Source organism: Homo sapiens, chromosome 21 (assembly GCF_000001405.40).
Source record: "Homo sapiens chromosome 21, GRCh38.p14 Primary Assembly".
In the NCBI taxonomy this organism is placed as follows: domain Eukaryota; kingdom Metazoa; phylum Chordata; class Mammalia; order Primates; family Hominidae; genus Homo; species Homo sapiens.
Window position 1 is genome coordinate 25,723,012 of NC_000021.9, and position 18,799 is coordinate 25,741,810.

Below are 18,799 nucleotides of genomic sequence, written 5' to 3' on the forward strand. Positions count from 1 at the left end.
ATGCAAGCAATTCCACAGTTGTGAGACAAGTAAAAAATGTGTTATGAGATAACTGTGTTAGCTGATAAAAGGTAAAATTCAACTAAACTTTGAATGAAGAAGGAGGTAAAGAGACAGGGAGAGGAAGCATATGCAGAAAAGGTCAGTTTGTTCTCTACTGACTGGCAGTTCCAGCTGACACAAGATGGCTTTGCAGCCACAGGTAGGTGGAGGAGAGCTGTTTCAGGGGAGGTTAAAGGAAGACCCTGGGACAACTAGACTTCCTCGATTACCTTTAGATAGTGCCATAATTAGACACCCGATTCTCTGTTCCAAAGCCTGCAATTATTTAAATAAAAGTAGTTCAACTGTTCTGTCACTGCTTAGCCACATTTGAAGAAAAGTGGGCTGTTTCTTCCTACTGTACTGCCCTCCCCAATTCCGTCTCTACACATCGTATTAATCATATCTATGTCATTAGGAAATATTTGTAGATCTTTCAAAAAGGTATTCCCTAGCAGGTTTTGCCTTCAGCTACAGTATGCCATAATAAAAATCTATTCCCTTTGGCCCAGGCGCAGTGGCTCAAGCCCGTAATCCCAACACTTTGGGAGGCCGAGGTGGGTGGATCACCTGAGGTCAGGAGTTTGAGACTAGCCTGGCCAACATGGTGAAACCCTGTCTCTACTAAAAATACAAAAATTAGCCGGGCATGGTGGCGCACACCTGTAATCCCAGCTACCCAGGAGGCTGAGGCAGGAGAATTGCTTGAACCTGGGCAACAGAGCGAGACTCCATCTCCAAAAAAAAAAAAAGAACACTGTTGGCTTCACACTTTTACACTTTTAAAGAAAATCTTAAAAATCTATTAAAGACCTATATTTATTAACACATATCAGAGATATTGTCAAATACTAAAAAGACATGGCTGCTTTTCCTTTAAAATTTACTTTTTTTAAGCCTGATTTTGACCATTAAAATATTTTTTAAAATAACTTCCTTGAGAGACAGTTATAGTCACTAAAATTTTGACCATGTCTGATATGCCACTTATCTAGAATGTATCTGCTGGAACTCTTCTTATTAGGACAAAACAACACCATAAAGTTTACTCTTTTAAAGTAAGTTCCTTTATAGAACCCCCGTCATCCCTACCTTTCCCTCATCAATCTGAACAGAACTGTAACAGACTCTGTGATCTGCAAGCAAAGATGAGGGACCTGGGTTACTGGGAGAAAATTATTTAACATTTGAGGAGATCAAAGTTAAACACAATAGATGTTCCAAGACATATAAAAAATTACACTCAGATTTCTGAGAAAGCTATGACCAAGAATTTATAAACCATTTCTTCATGTTCTAAAGGAAGGGTAACATCCCTCCACAACAAGCAGGGTTATGTGCAAGTTGTGTCCAGTTCATCCAAGGTCTCCATCTGCTTTATTATAACCAAATGAAAGGATCTAAAAACAACTCTAACACACAGAACTCAATTCATCAAGAACACACTCAACATCACCAAATAATTTATTTGGACTCAGAATTAAAAGAACATTTGACAGTTATGAAATGCATGTTTATTCTGAAACTTCTAACTAGTTGTACAACTAATCCGTGACAAATTACCAGATTAATTTTACTTTATTTCTTCAGGCCTGGGGTTTTTCGATGACTTCAAATTTGGGATCTAAGAAGAGGGGGAAAAAAGGGTCAAGCTTAGCCAAATTGCAATAAAATGGATTATGTAGAATGCTCAAGATTTAACTCATCAATTTTCTGATTTTTTTAGTAAACACTGTTTGTAAACATTTACATAGAAATATAGCTAAACATTTATGCAACACTTTCTATGAGCCATGCATTCCATTAATTGACTTTGCATATATTATGTCATTTAACTACATATGCAGAAGATACTATAATTCTCCCCAAATGTCAGATGAGGAGACATGCACCAGTTAATTACTCAAGATTACACAGCTGAAAGTGATTATAAGGATTCAAGATTGGGCAGTTCGATTTCAGATCCCCACCATTTAATCACTATGTTATGTGATCTCCTATACTGCTCTTATTCTAACAGCAAACATTTAGCCGGCAGCTTCTCAGGCACACGTCATGGTCCTAATAAATTCACATGTCAACACTGTCATTCAGTTCTCTAAAAATCCAGGTAAGTGTAAATATTCTTCACTTATCCCCCACAAGAATGAATCTGTGATTTATAAGACGTACCTTCAAATTTGAAGGTGGGAAATGTATTCATGTCTGCATTACCAAACATTTGCTTGAGCTTAAAAAGCTCCCTCTCCAGCTCTTGCTGATACTCTGAACTAGCATCAACAGGTCCTCCAGATGTCCTGTTAAGTAAATGAGCAAACAAAAATTAATTTTGTGTACTAGCTTACAAAAACAAAATTACTTTTCACCACCACATTCCAACAGATCTTTTTTTTTTTTTCTTTTTTGAGACGGAGTCTTGCTTGGTCGCCAGGCTGGAGTGCGGTAGCATGATCTTGGCTCTCTGCAACCTCCGACTCCCTGGTTCAAGCGATTCTCCTGTCTCAGCCTCCCAAGTAACTGGGATTACAGGCACACGCCACCATGCCCAGCTAATTTTTGTATTTTTAGTAGAGAGGGGGTTTCACCATGTTAACCAGGATGGTCTCGATCTCCTGACCTCATGATCCGCCCGCCTCGGCCTCCCATAAGTGCTCGGATTACAGGCGTGAGCCACCACACCCGGCCAATAGACCTTTTTAAAGCATTCATGTAGTCAAAGAAAAGACTTCAGAAAGAAAATAAGTATTTCTACTTCAATTTCAATTCAAACTATTTTATTACGATGAGGTTTCACATAAATGAGGTATCCTCAAACCAATCTCTAACATTCAAGGTTTCTCAGAATCACGGACACTCACTAAGTCAGAATTTCTCAGGGTCTAAGTTGCAAAAGGTGTATCGTTAAGTCTACAGGCTCTGGAGTCAAAGACTGGTCCTGTTTGAGTGTAAGTTCAACTATTCAGCAACTGCGTAAACCTGAGTAAGGCACAGAGCACTCTAAATTTTAGTTTCCACAACTAAATATGAAGGTTCTACCAAACGAGGGTGTAAATGCACACGTACCTCTAAGCACAGTGCCTGGCACACAGTGAGTACTCAATTATTATCTACTAATATCATCTGCTTTAAGTCAGCCATCACTAAATGGCTTTTAAAGACCTTAGACTTTTAAGTTTCTACCATAGGGGTCCTATTAAAGAAGCAAATTATTTCCTACCCTCAGAGATTTTGCAATTTCGAAGAAAAAAATTACATGTTTACAAACATTTATGCTGTAAAGGAGTGATGTGATGAGCTTCAAAGACATGATTTAACAAAAAGCTATTCAAGTTGAGGAAGAGATTACTTTTGCTAAGCTAATCAGGGAAAATTTCATTTTAAAAAGGTGGCATTTGAGAAACATCAGGCATCTGGGGCCAGGGTTTATTTTGAGACCTTCTAAGATGGAAAAAGCAAAGACATAGAGGTGGTAAGGGATTGGCTGTATGTGGGGAATGCTAAGGAGTCTAGATGGAAAAACCAGCAGACCCCAGATCATGGGAGGCCCGGAATGTTAAGCCTGGGAGTTTGTATTTTATTTGCCAAGCAATAAAATGACAAAATTAGACTTGTGCATTTTGGGAAAATAAATATAGCATTATGGACCAGCAGCAGGGCCAACTGGGTCTCATTAATTCTTTGAAGAAATTCTTCTGTTTTTGTCATAAATACTACTGCCTACCTAGCAATGAACAATATTCTAAATGTAAAAAAATGTACACATGAAAATTCCTTCAAGGGTAATAACATTTTTACACATGCCTATGATCAAAGTATACAGTCTTATTTAAGTTAAAGAACATGCACAAAAAATACATAGGTGGCTCCAATTTAAGAACTTGTTATCAATATTTCTTGTTAGAGACCCAATTTTCTTTTAGATTAGCACTGTCCAATAGACCTTTTTGTGATGTTAGAAACGCTCTCTGTCTGTGCTGTCCAGTGTGGCAGCCACTAGCCATATCTGGCTATTGAGCACTAGAAATATAGCTAACATGAATGAGAAAATGAGAAACTGAATTTATAAATACACTTAATTGTAATTAGAATTTGAATAGTCTCATGGATAACGGCAACCAAAATGGACACTGCGGTTCTAAATAGATCCTTCAACTAGATACTCTAATACTGGTTACAGATGGATGATGGCTATTTTAACTTTAATATGCACTCTTGTGATAAAAAGAGGCCAGAAATCATCTACCTCCTCAACTGAATGTAAGTCTTGCTGCTTATCTTGCTTATTACTATATTCCTAGGCTCTCACATGATGCCTAGGACAAAGCAGTCACTCAGAAGATACTTGTTCATTTCACTAGCAAATACTAGGCATGCTAATGTATTGAATAATTTAATTTTTATAATATCCTATGAAATGGGTAAGTACTACCATCATCCTCCTTTTACATATGAGAAAACTGTCCTACAGAAGTTAAACCTGCCCAAGGTCATAGAGCTAATTAGTGGCAGTGCTGGATGCCAGCCCAGGGTCTACCCTCAGAACTCTCCATGTGTTTGTTTGCACAAACGAATGAATGACCCACAAACAAGACTCCTTAGATATAGGGTACACCTAAGAATTCACTTCTTACTAGATAGGCTTTTAAAGACAGTTAAAATGATGCAAACAGCATCAATACTCTAATATAACACCACATTTGGACAGAAGACACTCAAAATTCCCTGACGAGTCCTGCACATCTGGTTACTTAACAGTATGATTTTTGGCAAATTCTAACTTTCAGCCTTGGTTTTCTCATATATAAAATTGGGGTAACATCTATAGGGTTGTTGTCAGAGTTTCATTACCATGTCTACAAAGCACAGAGTAACTTACTACATTTTAATCCCTTCACTATTTCTCCTCCTCAGTTTTGGCAATGGTAACACCTTTGTTAGTTACCTCGCCTCAAAAGTCAGTTTTCTTTTATTGTTCCCTCTTCTTCCTCTCCAGCAGCTCACCAAAACCAGGCATCAGTGTTTCAATGTCTTGACTCTGTCACTTTTACATTACCACTGCTATAAAGTCAAGGTTCTCATCAACTAATGCTTAGGTTACATTTTGCTAACATGTCTGTCTTTGCTCTCTTCTCATTTCAATCCTTCCAATACCCTGGTTAAAATTATCCTCCTAATTCAGAGTAATCTTCCATCCCCACAGTCATGTTCAAAAAGCTGTAATTTCTCACAAATGCCTACCACATATCTTACTTGCTCAGTCTACAATCAAGGCCTTCCATAATCCCTCATTCTAACCCCATACCATCCTTATACTCTTCATATACCCTATACTCCAGGGAAATAGAATTATACCATTCACCAAATATATTTTGTGCTTTCTAGCACAAACTAAGGCATTTTCATGCCTTAGTTCACACCATTCTTTCCTCCTAAAAGATACTCTCCTCTTACCCTCATTTATCTGTCCAACCTTCATACACTGATCTTTAAAACCTAGAGTAAACCCCTGGGTGTACAGGTCTACTGAAGGCCTCCTGTGGGTTTGAGAACTGTTTCATGCTATAAGGAAAATGATGTGAGTAAATTCTTCACGTTTTTTTCTTTAAACTGGGAAGATGATCCACAGTTGTCCATGAGATTCTCAAGAGGGATGAGTACCCAAACACTGCCTTCCAAGAAGCCTCTAAAATGCCTCTAGCTGGAAAGGAGTATTCTTTCCTATGAACTCCCCAAGCACCCAGCGTTTCCCTACCTTAGCACCTAACTCATTTTACCTTATATTGTATTTATTTGCTTAGAAGCTTTCTACTCCTATCGGACTTTAAGAATATTGTAAAAATGCCCTGTGGCCCATCACGGTTAATAGCCAAGTGCTTTACACACAGTAGACAACTATATGAAAGAAAATGGAACTATGAATTGGTGCGCCTCACTGTTCCTAAGATTTGGGTTTGGACCTGATGACAGCTAAGGTGGTCATTCCTTTCCAAAACTATGGTTCTACAATTGTTTTTCTTGGACTTACATTATGTCATTTCAGAGTCTTTTGTCCTTTAATATACATTCTCAGAGATCTGTAACTATGGAAATAGCCTTTTAAAAAAAAGAGCTGTGTTTATACATTTCCCCCAAATTACAATGTCACAGAAAGGCCACTAAATTGAGGCTAAAATATACTTTGATAATATATTTTTCCCCAATTAGTTTTATGATCTTCGGCTAATCAATGTCTAAGGGAGTTACTTTTTTCAAACTTAGCTGCTAAATGATTTCCAAGACCCTATGTATTTCTATAAATTGATGTGGTTTATAATACATGACATGACAGTAAGAATGTATTTTAAACAGCAATAAATTTAGTAGGATTTTCCCTTGTAACTCATATAAAGATACAGTTTCTGACTTAAAAAAATCAAGATCCTTATCTTCTTTTTTGAGGGCACCTAATGAACCTCTATGTCAGAGATGAGCTCAGTGAAGGTCTAATACTTTCAAATACCAAGTCATTTTTATTACCACCTTGAAACTTACATACTTTGAATATTTATATTTACACTGTAGTTATTTATTCACTTACTGTCGCTTAGATTTGTATTCTCTAATCTTGTCCACAAAGAGTTTCTGTATAGGATCAAGTTCCTTATTAAATGCCACTGCTGTAACACCAATGTTCCTCCGCAAATGGACTGAGACGGCTGACCGAATGACAGAGGAGAACCTGAAGAGCCTCTGAAGAATCATGCTGATTCTGTTACAGAAAACAAGCAGCAGAAACGTTAATATACTTATTATAAATCACCTCTAAATATATCATGAGAATCAAATTCTACTAATTGCTACAGAATTACATCATATCAGATCTCAGTCTATACCTGACCACAGTTCCCTTCTCCTCCTTATTCCCCATTGCAAGTTTTTTAGGTCTTAACCAAAAGGCTCTGGGATAATGGAACAGTTAGAAACTCAGGCCTGAAGCTTCATCAGGGTTAGAGCACAAAATGTGAGGTGAGGTATTTCTTCCCCCTTGAACTTAGTCATGGATCAGAGAAAACAGTAGAGGTAGACTGTTGCAACACTGTCCGCTCCTAACAGGAAAAGTACACTGGCCCCCAAACTAATGTACAAGGTTTCCCATACCTCAGCCGGGCATGACAACCTGAAAATGTGTACTTCACAGGCCCACAGAGGGAGAAACTGCTCTGCCTGTTACAAATGGATTCCAGCCATTTAAGAATACTGTAACAACTAAATCAAAGTCCAGAAGAACCAGCAAAGAAAAACAGCAGCCAGTCCAAATGAGCTGTGCATGACAGTGGGGAGGATCCGGCAGTCCAACTTTATCAGTGAAATAAATTGGTGAAGGAGATGGAAGTCTGAATTTTAAAAATAAGGACTTATGGCCAGGTGCAGTGGTTCACGCCTGTAATCCCAGCACTTTGGGAGGCTGAGGCTGGTGGATCACCTGAGGTTGGGAATTTGAGACCAGCCTGACCAACAAAAAGAAACCCTGTCTCTATTAAAAATACAAAAATTAGCTGGGCGTGGTGGCGCATGCCTGTAATCCCAGCTACTCAGGAGGCTGAGGCAGGAGAATTGCTTGAACCCAGGAGGCAGAGGATGCAGTGAGCCGAGATTGTGCCATTGCACTCCAGCCTGGGCAACAAGAGCAAGACTCCGTCTCACAAAAAAAAAAAAAAAAAAAAAAAAAAAAAAAAAAAAAAAGACTTAAAGACTTTCAAATCCCTAGACTTCCTTAAGCTAAAATATATTACTTTCTAACTAAAACATTTCAGTAGAGGACAATTCCTGTTGAGATTTACTTTAGTGATTTAAAGATCAAATGCAAAAAATAATCCAAATTACAACAAATAGGTACAAACAGGAATTCTAGAAGAAAAGGAATAAAGAGGGCCAGGCACGGTGGCTCATGTGTGTAATCCCAGCACTTCAGCCCGAGGCAGGTGGATCACTTGAGGTCAGAGGTTCGAGACCAGCCTGCCCAAAATGGTGAAACCCTGTCTCCACTAAACATACAAAAATAAGTCAGGCGTGCTAGCGCGTGCCTGTAATCCCAGTTATTTGGGAGGCTGAGGCAGGAGAATCACTTGAACTCAGGAGGCGGAGGCTGCAGTGAGCCCAGATCACACCACTGCACTCCAGCCTGGATGCAGGGCAAGACTCTGTCTCAAAAAGAAAAAAAAGGAAATGATTAAAAGAGACCATAAATAATTAGTAGAATACATTTTTCTCAGATTAAGGCCGAGTCTATAAACTGACAGGGCTTGCCAAACCCCATATTGGAACGGTGACAAAAGGCTCACAATGCACCACAGCCTGGTACAATTTCTCAATCTTTTTTTTTTTCAGACAGGGTCTCACTCTGTTGCCCAGAATGAACACGGCTCACTACAGCCTCAGCCTCCTGGACTCATGCAATCCTCCCACCTTAGCCTCCCAAGTAGATGGGAGCACAGTTGTGTGCCATCACACCAGGCTAATTTTTACTTTTTTTTTTTTTTTGTAGAGACGAGGTCTTGCCATATTGCCCTGGCTGGTAAAATTTCTGAATCTTCAAGTGAAAATCTGATATGCTAACATGTTTCCCATGCCCTCCCCAAATTTCCTAATAGCAATACTGTCATCATCACATTGACACCGGACTTCTACTAAGTTATAATAGGACTAGTGGAAGTATACAAACTATGTTATTGGTCTAAAGTAATATAGAAATTAGATATAAGTATTTAGAGGCCAGGCGAGGTGGCTCATGCCTGTAATCCCAGCACTTTGGGAGGCCGAGGAGGGAGGATTGTTTGAACTCAGGAGTTCAAGACCAGCCTGGGAAACATGGAGAGAACCTGTCTCTAAAAAATTAGAGCTTGTATTTTAAGTGACTTCATTGTTTTGTTTTTTAAATTTCATTTCTTTTGTAATTCATTTTCACTGTATTCAAAAGTGTCCACAGGAGTGGGTGTGAGAATGGCCCTTTACCACTCAGAGTTTGAGCAGCACTAGCTAGAAAACTGTAGAGTCGCACAATAGTTCTCAAAATAGGGTTGGGGGTGGGGGAAGAAGTGAGTTTTTTTCTCTCCAAGGAGACATCTGGCAATGTCTTTAGACATTTTTGGTTGTTCTCACCAAGCTGAGTGCTACTGGCTTATAATGAGTACAAAGCCAGGAATGCTGCCAAACACTATAACGACAATAACAGCCCTCCCACCCCTAAGAATTATCTGGTCAAAATGTCAATAATGCCAAGGTTGACAAACTCTGGAATGGCATGTAAAAATTATCAAAAGAAATCTACAATGAGCCAGGTGCAGCGGATCATGCCTGTAATCCCAGCACTTTGGAAGAACAAGGCAGGAGGATCACTTAAGCCCAGGAATTCAAGACCAGCCTGGGCAACACAGTATGACCCCATCTCTACAGAAAAAAAAAAAATAGCCAAGTGCGGTGGTGGGTGCCTGTAGTCCCAGGTACTTGGGAGGCTGAGGCTGGAGGATCACTTGAGCTTGGGAGGTAGAAGCTGCAGTGAGCTGTGATTGCACCACTGCATTCCAGCCTGTGTTACAGAGTGAAACCCTGTCTCAAAAAAAAAAAAAAAGAAAGAAAGAAATCCTACAATCAGGCCGGGCGTGATGGCTCACGCCTGTAATCCCAGCACTTTGTTGTAATCCCAGCACTTTGGGAGGCCAAGGTGGGTGGATCACCTGAGGTAGGGATTCAAGATCAGCCTGACCAACATGGAGAAACCCCGTCTCTACCAAAAATACAAAATTAGCCGGGAGTGGTGGCACATGCCTGTAATCCCAGCTACTCAGGAGGCTGAGGCAGGAGATTCCTTGAACCCAGGAGGCGGAGGTTGCGGTGAGCCGAGATCGCGCCACTGCACTCCTCCACCCTGGGCAACAAGAGTGAAACTCTGTCTCAAAAAAAAAAAAAAAAAAAAAAAAAAAGAAATCCTACTATCAATGCAATCAACAAAATATGCTTCACCTGACAGAATGAAAGCAAACTGTTTGAAGAAATTAAAGAATTCATAACATATCACTTTTATACCCCATCAGGGAAAAATACTTGAGAAAAGGCTACAAGCAAACAACAAATGACCTCACAAGGTCATGTGCCACTTATTATCATTCCTATGTTTAAACACACAGAAACTGAGGATTAGAAGTATCTGGTCAAAGTGGTCGGGCGCGGTGGCTCACGCTTGTAATCCCAGCACTTTGGGAGGCCGAGGCGGGCAGATCACGAGGTCAGGAGATCGAGACCATCCTGGCTAACACGGTGAAACCCGGTCTCTACTGAAAAATACAAAAAATTAGCCAGGCGTGGTGGCGGGCACCTGTAGTCCCAGCTACTCCGGAGGCTGAGGCAGAAGGGCGTAAACCTGGAAAGTGGAGCTTGGAGTGAGCAGAGATCGTGCCACTGCAATCCAGCCTGGGCGACAGAGCGAGACTCTGTCTCAAAAAAAAAGTATCTGGTCAAAGTTACACAGCAAAATCTAACTTAACACATATATGCAAAAAAAAAAATTGTGCAATTCAATGCCACTTTCCCTTCTGGCAAACTAAGGACATGCTTAACATTCAGCAATAGGTTCACCCGACATTTGCTTAGCCCTAGATACTGTGCAAAGTACTTCCATATATATCCTTTCCTTGTACCCTTACAGCAATACTCTCAAAGAGTTAAAGTGTTCTTATCCCTGCTTTACAGATGATAAAACTGTATCTAAGAAAGATTAAGCTGCACGTATTCTCACAGTTAATTTGCTCTAAGTCTGACTGCATAGATGTTACTCCTTCTGCAACACGGGTAAAATCCACTTTCATTGTTTCAATTATCCACCATGTAAGTGCCTATGATTCCCCAATCGCATTTCTAATTTTAGTATTCATCCTGAGCCCCAAATCTATCCACAGCATTCAACAGTTCTCATCTCCCTTATAAGTCCTACGAACTCATCCAAAAAACGAACACATAATCCCATATCAAAACTTGTTCCTTCTCCTTTAATCCCTTTCATTTTTTTTCACTGATTAGTGAATGCATATTGTCCACTAAAACGCAGAAGATAGTCATTACACAAATAGCTGTGAAATACCACCTGACATAAATTCTCTATTCCAGTACCATCGGGTGCCACGAGAGCATATGATAGCGTCTGACATGATCAGAAAGACTGGGGAAGGCAACAGTAAGAAAACACTAGTCTGAGCAGAGGCCTTGTTCTGGGTGGGAGCATGGTTCTATTTATAGTGATGACTGACCGGCCAAAGGTTAGTAGGTTCGCTGCCTCTTCAGTGCATATTCCTATGAACAATCCATAAAGTCGCCTAATGAAGTGTTAGCACCATCGTTTTTAGGTGGGATGCAAACTTTCAATATTATGACTAATTTTTTCCCTCTTAATGGTACACGTTCTGCCTAAGTAGCCTAGACGCTCCCGTGCGCCCGGGGCGGGTAGGCCTGGCCGAAAATCTCTCCCGCGCGCCTGACCTTGGGTTGCCCCAGCCAGGCTGCGGGCCCGAGACCCCCGGGCCTCCCTGCCCCCCGCGCCGCCCCGATTTGCCCTCAGAGAGGGTATCGATCTTATTTCTGGGTCTACGGCAAACTCCAAGGTCTACAAACGTAGAGGTCAGCTGTGACCCCGGGCCAGGCCGTGAAGGTCCCCAGGACACAGAGCTGCTCTCTCCTCCTAGTAAAGGTGAGAGGCAGCCCAGGCCTCGTGAAAAAACCCAGAACTGGAGTCCCAAAAGGCCACGCTGATCTAGCTACCCTCCCAGTCACCTTGCACTCAGTCCCGAGCTGCCAAAGCCTCCGCCGCCACCACCTCCGCTCTACTTCCGGCCCTGGCTCCGCCCCCACACGCCTACCCGCCATCGCAATGCATTATGGGCCGCCGTTTCAGTCGGTCGACGCTCACCGGACAGGAAGCGTCTCGGAGACAGTCTGCGACCGGACGGGTCTAGGTGAGACAGAAGCCAAACAGGAGGAGGAAGTGGAGGGTAAGTGCTTCCGGGTCCCCTGGCACAGCCTCCGCCATCTTTTCTTCGCCTAATTTGACCCGTTCTTTTTCCCCTCCTTGAAACCTTGCTCTGTACGCATGCGCTCTTTGAGTGGCCTTTCCCCTAGTTCAAGCTCCCCTCCGAGTCAGCGTCCTGTTCGTTAGGGTTATCGAAGTGTATAAAGGTGCAGGGAAAGTGAGACTGTGTAAAACAAAGCGGATTGGGGCGTTGTGCTTCCTTGTACCTCGTGAGCCTCCGTTGCCTTGGGCGGTCGTTTTGCGCACCCTGCCGGGAGTTGTAGTCCTGGACCCGAAGGTGCCTGGGAGGCGGGAGGGGGGTTGGGGCTTCTCAGCGCCGATTCCGCGGGAAGGGCCCTGGGACCTCACACTTCTAGTCGCGGGAGCTGCAGGTCTTACCCGGAGAGACGCTGCACGTGGAGCCCTCGCCGCTGCCGTTCTCAGCCGGCTCTGGAGTGCGGGCGGGGGCGACAGGGCCGATTCCGGAGTGGGTGAGTGCGGCCGCCGGGGAGGAGGGGAGCGCGGGCCCTCGCGGGCCGGCCTCGTTCCGGGGCCTTTTCCCCCACAAGGGCCCCCCCGCGGCCGCCTCTGTGTTTTGTTTCCGCTGGTCCCCGGCGCTGTGACTCCCATTTCCGTTCGTGGAGACTTGAGGGAGCCGGGTGGGGAGGGGCGGGAGAGCTGTGCGGGGAGCGAAGGGGAGGGGCGGGGGGCGAGCGGCCTGGAGCCCGGGGGGACCGGGCACCGCCGGGACCCGTGCCGGACGGGTCGCCTGTCGCCGCTCCCTCCTTTCCGCGTCCCCTCCTCGCCCGTCCGCACTCCTCAGCAGTCTCAGCCTGCTCAGCTGGGATGTGGTCCTGACGCCCCCGAGATTTTAAGAGCAAAATGCAGACCCTGTCTCATCGCGGGACTCAGCGATTCACTCATTTCAAATCCGCTCTCTTTATAGAACAACACACACCAGAATCATTTATCAGCGTATATGGTAGCCATCTGGGTTTGTTTTTTTGTTTTTAAGCAAGGAAGTAAACCAAGGAGATAACAATGGGTTGTCTACTTGGAAATTTTTTTGTGTACTAGAAGACACGCTGTATGTGCGTGTTTGGATTTAGGGACCCCAGTTTGATCAGGTTAGCGGACCGAGAGGACAATGCCTAATATTGCATTGCAAGATGATTAGAAATTTAGAAATAAAATTCATTTCATAAGTAGTTTCCACTAATAGCAGTAGGTCTGACTCGTGAGAAGAGCAAAGATTTAGCAGGATTCACTTGAGCGAATTGTAGAACGAGGCGGTGATAACATTCTTCGGTAGTGTTATCTTGAACTTCAGAAGAAACCGCTCAACTCTTTAGCAACTGCTTGAGGGACTAGCCTGTCTCTCAGGGTTCCATCCAGGCTTTCCAAGCTTCTTTATTTTTAGACATACAGTGACGCTGAGTGGACTTCAAGTCAATTTTACCTGAATTGTGTATACAAGAGCATCTGTCATGAGGCATGTATAGTAATGAAGTAATTAAATCATGAGCTAGATGTTAGGTTGAAGCAAATCATCAGACCGAGTACTAAATTAAAACTGTTGACTTTAGCCTTCCCTCAACTCTTTATATATAAAACTCCAAACCTACAGAAGAATTGGGGAAAAAATCATGCAGTGAACACGCAGATACCCTTCACCTGAGGGTCCCAACTGTTAATCTTTCACTGTATGTGCTTTCTCTTTTTATATTACATAGATATGTATGCTTTGCTTTTTCTTAACTGCTACCTTTATTTTTGAAAATAAAAATGTCTTTTAATTTCCTCAGACACAGAAAAGCATTTGATAACTTAGGAAAATGTGCAGTTAATCTCGCAGGTACCCCCACACTCCACTTATAATATATTGGGAACAAAATGTTCTAAGCTCTGTAATAATGCTCTCCAATGAAGGACAATTCTCAAATTTATCTGTAGTTTCAAAAGGGAATGTTACACCTATCTGTATTTTAAAAGACACTAGCCGTTCCCAGAATTTTTCGTTAAATTCAAGTTTAGTTTGTATCCCATCTTGTGAAACATTCCGAACCCCAGGTTGGATTTAATCCAGCAGAACCAGAGTGTCAAAGTATATGAAATTGTTCTGTGCAGTTCTGGCGGGGGCAGCCCTTAGACGGAGAAACTGCAAGTAATTTTCTCTCAGTTTTCCTAAGTATTGACATAGAAGCCTGAGGAATTGGTTTCAGAAAAAGAGATAAGACTCACTCAAAAACTGATATGAAAGATTTGGACTATTTCTCAAATCTCTGTTTTGCTTCTCTGGACTAAGCATAGAGAACCAGGAGAGAAAGAAAGATTTAAGAGACTGAGTAATATTTTTTGACAGATCATTTAAGAAACTGAGTAATTTTTTTTTTCTCCAAAAGGGCATGGGTTTTTGTTTTGTTTTGTTTTTTCTCTATTTGGCACTTTCTAGGGATTGGTCTATAAATTTTTTGAAAGATCATAGGATAAATTTCTTTGTAGCAACTTCCTATTTTAGTGTTTATGTTAGGGGAGCCCCAGGTGTCCCTGCTGATACGCCATTAGGGCCACTTCTCAGCCTCTGGCTACATCATAATGCTTTTTTTTCTATCTTGCCAAAGTTTCCAGAAAATTTATGTTTTCTAATTTTAAAAAAATTGGTTGTGGAGATGGGAGTGGACCTCTTTATAAGCCCTGAAAATAAGTGATTTTTTTTAAGTGCTATTCTGCTATAAACCTGATTCTCACTTTTTTCTGTAGACAACAGTTTTTTATAATATATCTATTTTGTGTGGACATTATTTCCTTTTAACCAATACTGAAATTCCATAGTGTATACTTTCTCCACATTTTCTTTGATTAATACTTTCTTAAAATAGACACTTGGATTGGCACCAGCTGTCACCAATAAAGCTGCCCTGAACATTGTCAATCAATCCTGTTAACCAATTTGAGAATTTTTCTGGAATGCTTAGTTAGGGATGAAATTGCTGGGTTATAGGTATGAGTATGCTTGATATACTTTTCTCCAGAATGTCTACACCTGTGTGTACACCACATCTCCAGAGATAGGGGAATCTTATGTCCCTGCTAACTGCTCTCGTTATTTAATTTTCTGACATTTGCCGCCGCCGCCGCCCCCTGCCCCCAACACACACATGGTATAAAGTGGTAGTTTCTTGTTTTAAATTGAACTTTTGAATGATTTGAATTTGGGCATTTCTTTGTATCCTGAGTTATTTTGGTTTCCCGTTATGTGAATATCCTTTTCCTATGCTTTAACTACTTTTCTAATTTGTCCCTTTTTTTGGTTATCAAATTCCAGGCCATTGTCTATTCCATCGTCACTTTTGGGTATTGGAAACATCTTTCCATTCTGTAGCCTGTCTGTTGAACATAAATCTTGATTTTTATGTAATCAGATTTTTCTCCTTACGGTTATGTTCTTGGAATTTTATTTAAGAAATCTTTTTCTATCCTGAGACCACAAAAATGTCCCCACCATTTTCTTCTGTTTCATAGTTTTGCCTTGTATGTTTAATCCTTTAAGGCATGTGTAGTTCATTTTATATGGTGTGAAATAGTTCTTATTCATTTATTCAACACATATTGGTGGAGTGCCTGCTGAAGGTAGTACTCTTCAGAGTACTTTGTATATATTTGTGAACACATATTCTTGCCCTGGAAGCTTATGTTGTCCTTCAAGGTAGATCCCTACTCGGTTTCCACCTGTTTTCTTCAGCCCTCAGGATGAATTCCACAATTTTACACATAGCACCAGTTAAGGAATAGGCTTTATTGGAGAAAAGGAAGGCTTATTAGACCAGCATCAGCAAGAAAAAAAAAAACCAAAAACAGAGGGTCTTCATTTCTTCATCATCCCCAAAAAAGCCTGCTGGAGCCTGCGCATTCTGCTAGATATGCACGTGAACAGAATCTGCGCAGTCGGCTAGATGTGCTTGTGAACGGAGCCTGCGCAGTCTGCTCCATATGCATGCGTCCATCCCAGTGGAGAACCTTACCCTTTTATTGTTCGTCCTTAAAGGGCAAGCCTGAGAGCAACCTTAATTACGTGGGAAAAATTAGATCATTTTGTATCAGGCAGTCTAGATTTGGGTGCCAGCTATTTGTCAGAAAACCAGCTACCCCATAGTTGGAGATATTGAGAACTTAGGAGAGTTATAGCCCTTTCTAAAGTGGGAAGGGAGACTCAGTTTCTTAATGCTAGTGTAACAAATTATGCAAATTTAGTGGCTTAAAAACACCACCTGTTTATTATCTTACAGTTTTGGAGTCAGAAATATGAAGTAGGTCTCTGGGCTAAAATGAGGTGTTGCCAGTGCTGTTTTTCTAGAGCCTTCGAGGGAGAATCCGTTCCTTGTCTAGCTTTCAGAAGCTACCTGCATTCCTTGGCTCAAAGCTCCTTTCCTCCATCTTCAAAGCCAGTCACAGCTAACCGGCAGATCTTCACATTGAATCACTCTGGCTCTCTCTTCCAATTTCCTCTTCTACTTTTAAGGACCTTCTACTTTTATTTATTTGTTTCAAGAGATAGGGTCTCGCTGTTGCCCAGGAGGGAGTGCAGTGGCACGATCATCATTGACTGCAGCCTCGACTCCTGGTCTCAAGCGATCTTCTCACTTCAGCCTCCCAAGTAGCTAGGACAACAGTTGCACACCACCATGCCTGGCTAATTTTAAAAATGTTTTTATAGGAGACAGGTTCTTTTTATGTTGCCCAGGCTGGTCTTGAACTCATGGGTTCAAACAGTCCTCTCTCCTCGATCTCCCAGAGTATTAGGATTACAGGCATGAGGCACCGTATCTGGCCCTAGCTGCGTTTTAAAAACGATCACACTCTGGCCGTTGTATTGACTGAGAATAGACTGTGAGGGGACAAGAGTGGACACAGGGACCCCCTTTAGGAGATTGTTGCAGTACTCCAGGTAAGGGGTGGTGGTGGCTGTTGTACTGATATACGCAATACAGAGCCTATATTTGGACAACCATGGTTCATCCCCATCTGGAATGATACCTACTTAGGTTGATACACCAAAACTGTGACATGGAGCCACAAGTGGTTTAGCCTCACCTCTGAATAGCGTTCGTATGAGATGGAGCTCAAAATAAGATTGCTCTATGCAAAGCATTTGAATGCAGTGCCTGATGCTCGGCGAGTAATGGTTAATACAAATGAACATTTAAATTCTTCATTTAGTGAAATCTTGTAAGTGGGAGCACAACTCTTTTGTAAATGTCGAAATACCAAATTTAGTGGAGCGTTCCTTTTAAAGGTACGCCTCTTTTTAGATGTGGTAGTACGCTTAGAATAACTACTCAGAAGGTGCTGTGGACTGAAAGTGCGTATGGAATTCAAAGACATTCATTGACCTACTGCGAGGTAGTTAATAACAGAACCTGGTACTTAACAGTATTAACACCTCAGACATGTCCACAAAGAAATATCTATGTATATTAGCTATTTGTGTATTCTTTAGCATTTTTAAAATTCTAATGTTTTTGTATCAGTGGTTTTAAGCAATAGATAAAAATTTTACATGGGATAATTAAAAACTGAAGTAGTGGTCTGTTTAAAATAAAACCACCTCTGAAAAAATCATTAAAAATTTTCTACTGTGTGTAATCAGGGAAATAATGTGCATATCTGTAATTTGTTACTTTGTTTTGCTGTTTTATAATATTCTTGCATTTATAAGAGACATCATTTGTACCAAATCCTAGCTGATTAATTTGCATATCATTGTATCAGTGTGATACTTTGCAGTAAATTCTGCTACTAAGGTACAACTTTCAGCTGAATAAACATAGTTCATCTCCATGTTAAGCTTCAGGTTTGAATCTGTTATTGAGACTGAGTTGCTTTAATATAGTTAACAGACCCTTAACTTAATTTTGAGGTAACTTGTTGATTGCAATTGGTCCCGAAAACATCTCAGTAAATCCAGTAGATTAATGAAGTTGTCATGTCAGGTTAATAAACACCAGTTTTTTAAAAAATTAGTTTATAAATGTCATTTGTGGATTTTCTTTATTTTATTTTTCAAACAGGGTCTCTTGTCGCCCATACTGGAGTGCAGTGGTGCGATCATGGCTCACTGCAGCCTCAGCCTCCTGGGCTCAGGTGATCCTCCCACCTCAGCCTCCGAAGTATTAATAGCTGGGACTACAGGCGCGTGCCACCACGCCCTGCTCATTTTTGTATTTTTAGTAGAGACAGGATTTCGCCAAGTTACCCAGGCTGATTTCAAACTCCTGGGCTCAAGCAATCTGCCTGCCTTGGCCTCCCAAAGTCCTGGGATTAGAGACATGAGCCACCACACCCAGCTGATTTTCTTCTATATGTAAAGACTACTTCCCCCTCTTCTGCTTGGCGTTTGCTTTTTATTTGGATTGGGTCTCTACTTCTTGTGTGTCATTTCGTTTATGTGGATAGTTTTAAAATATCTTAAAAAGTCACTCTTGCAGGACTGATCCTTTGAAATACTCCAGCCATGACTAAAAGAGAAGCAGAGGAGCTGATAGAAATTGAGATTGATGGAACAGAGAAAGCAGAGTGCACAGAAGAAAGGTTGGTGTTTCTGAATTTATCATTTTTTTTCAAAATATCAATATACCTAATTAAAACCAGGAAACAAGTCATAGTTCTTTTGGACTGTCTTTTTTTAACTGTTCTCAGTATTTTAGGGAATAATGTATTGTTTTA

The 18,799-nt window shown here is 41.4% G+C and overlaps 2 protein-coding genes across 15 annotated transcripts in view, besides 8 other annotated features; one reads left to right on the forward strand and one right to left on the reverse strand.

Annotated features, from left to right (window-relative positions):
* Positions 1-1,488: 1,488 nt before the first annotated feature.
* ATP5PF (ATP synthase peripheral stalk subunit F6) lies at positions 1,489-12,642 on the reverse strand. Of its 7 annotated transcripts, NM_001320266.2 has the most exons (5): positions 11,842-11,893; positions 11,322-11,364; positions 6,620-6,790; positions 2,215-2,339; positions 1,489-1,666 (listed from the first exon to the last, which is right to left on the reverse strand). In NM_001320266.2, the coding sequence occupies exons 3-5, from the start codon at positions 6,781-6,783 to the stop codon at positions 1,629-1,631; spliced, it is 327 nt and encodes a 108-aa protein (NP_001307195.1). In that variant the 5' UTR covers positions 6,784-6,790; positions 11,322-11,364; positions 11,842-11,893; the 3' UTR covers positions 1,489-1,628. The 7 variants fall into 7 exon arrangements, with proteins under 7 accessions (NP_001307195.1, NP_001003697.1, NP_001003696.1 ...); NM_001003697.2 differs by lacking the exons at positions 11,322-11,364; positions 11,842-11,893 and adding an exon at positions 12,476-12,642; NM_001003696.2 differs by lacking the exons at positions 11,322-11,364; positions 11,842-11,893 and adding an exon at positions 12,304-12,642.
* Positions 9,185-10,022: an enhancer, noted in NCBI's record as "H3K27ac-H3K4me1 hESC enhancer chr21:27104507-27105344 (GRCh37/hg19 assembly coordinates)". NCBI's record gives its function as "activates a minimal SCP1, AML or CMV promoter by ChIP-STARR-seq in naive H9 embryonic stem cells {active_cell/tissue: H9 hESC(naive)}" and the evidence as "EXISTENCE:reporter gene assay evidence [ECO:0000049][PMID:30033119]".
* Positions 11,315-11,394: an enhancer, noted in NCBI's record as "active region_18317". NCBI's record gives its function as "activates an Ori minimal core promoter by ATAC-STARR-seq in GM12878 lymphoblastoid cells {active_cell/tissue: GM12878}" and the evidence as "EXISTENCE:reporter gene assay evidence [ECO:0000049][PMID:35858748]".
* Positions 11,505-11,604: a silencer, noted in NCBI's record as "silent region_13232". NCBI's record gives its function as "represses an Ori minimal core promoter by ATAC-STARR-seq in GM12878 lymphoblastoid cells {active_cell/tissue: GM12878}" and the evidence as "EXISTENCE:reporter gene assay evidence [ECO:0000049][PMID:35858748]".
* Positions 11,713-12,368: an enhancer, noted in NCBI's record as "NANOG-H3K27ac-H3K4me1 hESC enhancer chr21:27107035-27107690 (GRCh37/hg19 assembly coordinates)". NCBI's record gives its function as "activates a minimal SCP1, AML or CMV promoter by ChIP-STARR-seq in naive H9 embryonic stem cells {active_cell/tissue: H9 hESC(naive)}" and the evidence as "EXISTENCE:reporter gene assay evidence [ECO:0000049][PMID:30033119]".
* Positions 11,795-11,904: an enhancer, noted in NCBI's record as "active region_18318". NCBI's record gives its function as "activates an Ori minimal core promoter by ATAC-STARR-seq in GM12878 lymphoblastoid cells {active_cell/tissue: GM12878}" and the evidence as "EXISTENCE:reporter gene assay evidence [ECO:0000049][PMID:35858748]".
* Positions 11,925-12,044: an enhancer, noted in NCBI's record as "active region_18319". NCBI's record gives its function as "activates an Ori minimal core promoter by ATAC-STARR-seq in GM12878 lymphoblastoid cells {active_cell/tissue: GM12878}" and the evidence as "EXISTENCE:reporter gene assay evidence [ECO:0000049][PMID:35858748]".
* GABPA (GA binding protein transcription factor subunit alpha) overlaps positions 11,961-18,799 on the forward strand; it is a 37,489-nt gene continuing 30,650 nt past the window's right edge. The window contains exons 1-4 of one of the 8 annotated variants that reach the window (XM_047440738.1): positions 11,961-12,374; positions 16,869-17,021; positions 17,386-17,476; positions 18,562-18,664. In XM_047440738.1, coding sequence (XP_047296694.1) covers positions 18,588-18,664 — 77 coding nt within the window. In that variant the 5' untranslated portion in view covers positions 11,961-12,374; positions 16,869-17,021; positions 17,386-17,476; positions 18,562-18,587. Of the gene's footprint in view, positions 12,568-16,868; positions 17,022-17,385; positions 17,477-18,549; positions 18,665-18,799 lie in introns of all 8 variants that reach the window. The other 7 variants (XM_047440737.1, XM_024452062.2, XM_047440739.1 and 4 more) reach the window with 7 other exon arrangements.
* Positions 12,545-12,684: a silencer, noted in NCBI's record as "silent region_13233". NCBI's record gives its function as "represses an Ori minimal core promoter by ATAC-STARR-seq in GM12878 lymphoblastoid cells {active_cell/tissue: GM12878}" and the evidence as "EXISTENCE:reporter gene assay evidence [ECO:0000049][PMID:35858748]".
* Positions 12,745-12,954: a silencer, noted in NCBI's record as "silent region_13234". NCBI's record gives its function as "represses an Ori minimal core promoter by ATAC-STARR-seq in GM12878 lymphoblastoid cells {active_cell/tissue: GM12878}" and the evidence as "EXISTENCE:reporter gene assay evidence [ECO:0000049][PMID:35858748]".

Bases quoted from the DNA above. Each gene is read 5' to 3' on its own strand.
- ATP5PF (NM_001003701.2), bottom strand. The intron at 2,340-6,619 runs GTAAGTGAATAA...TTTACTTAACAG, and splicing joins GAATACAAATCTAAGCGACA to GACATCTGGAGGACCTGTTG. The intron at 1,667-2,214 runs GTACGTCTTATA...CCCTCTTCTTAG, and splicing joins TCCCACCTTCAAATTTGAAG to ATCCCAAATTTGAAGTCATC.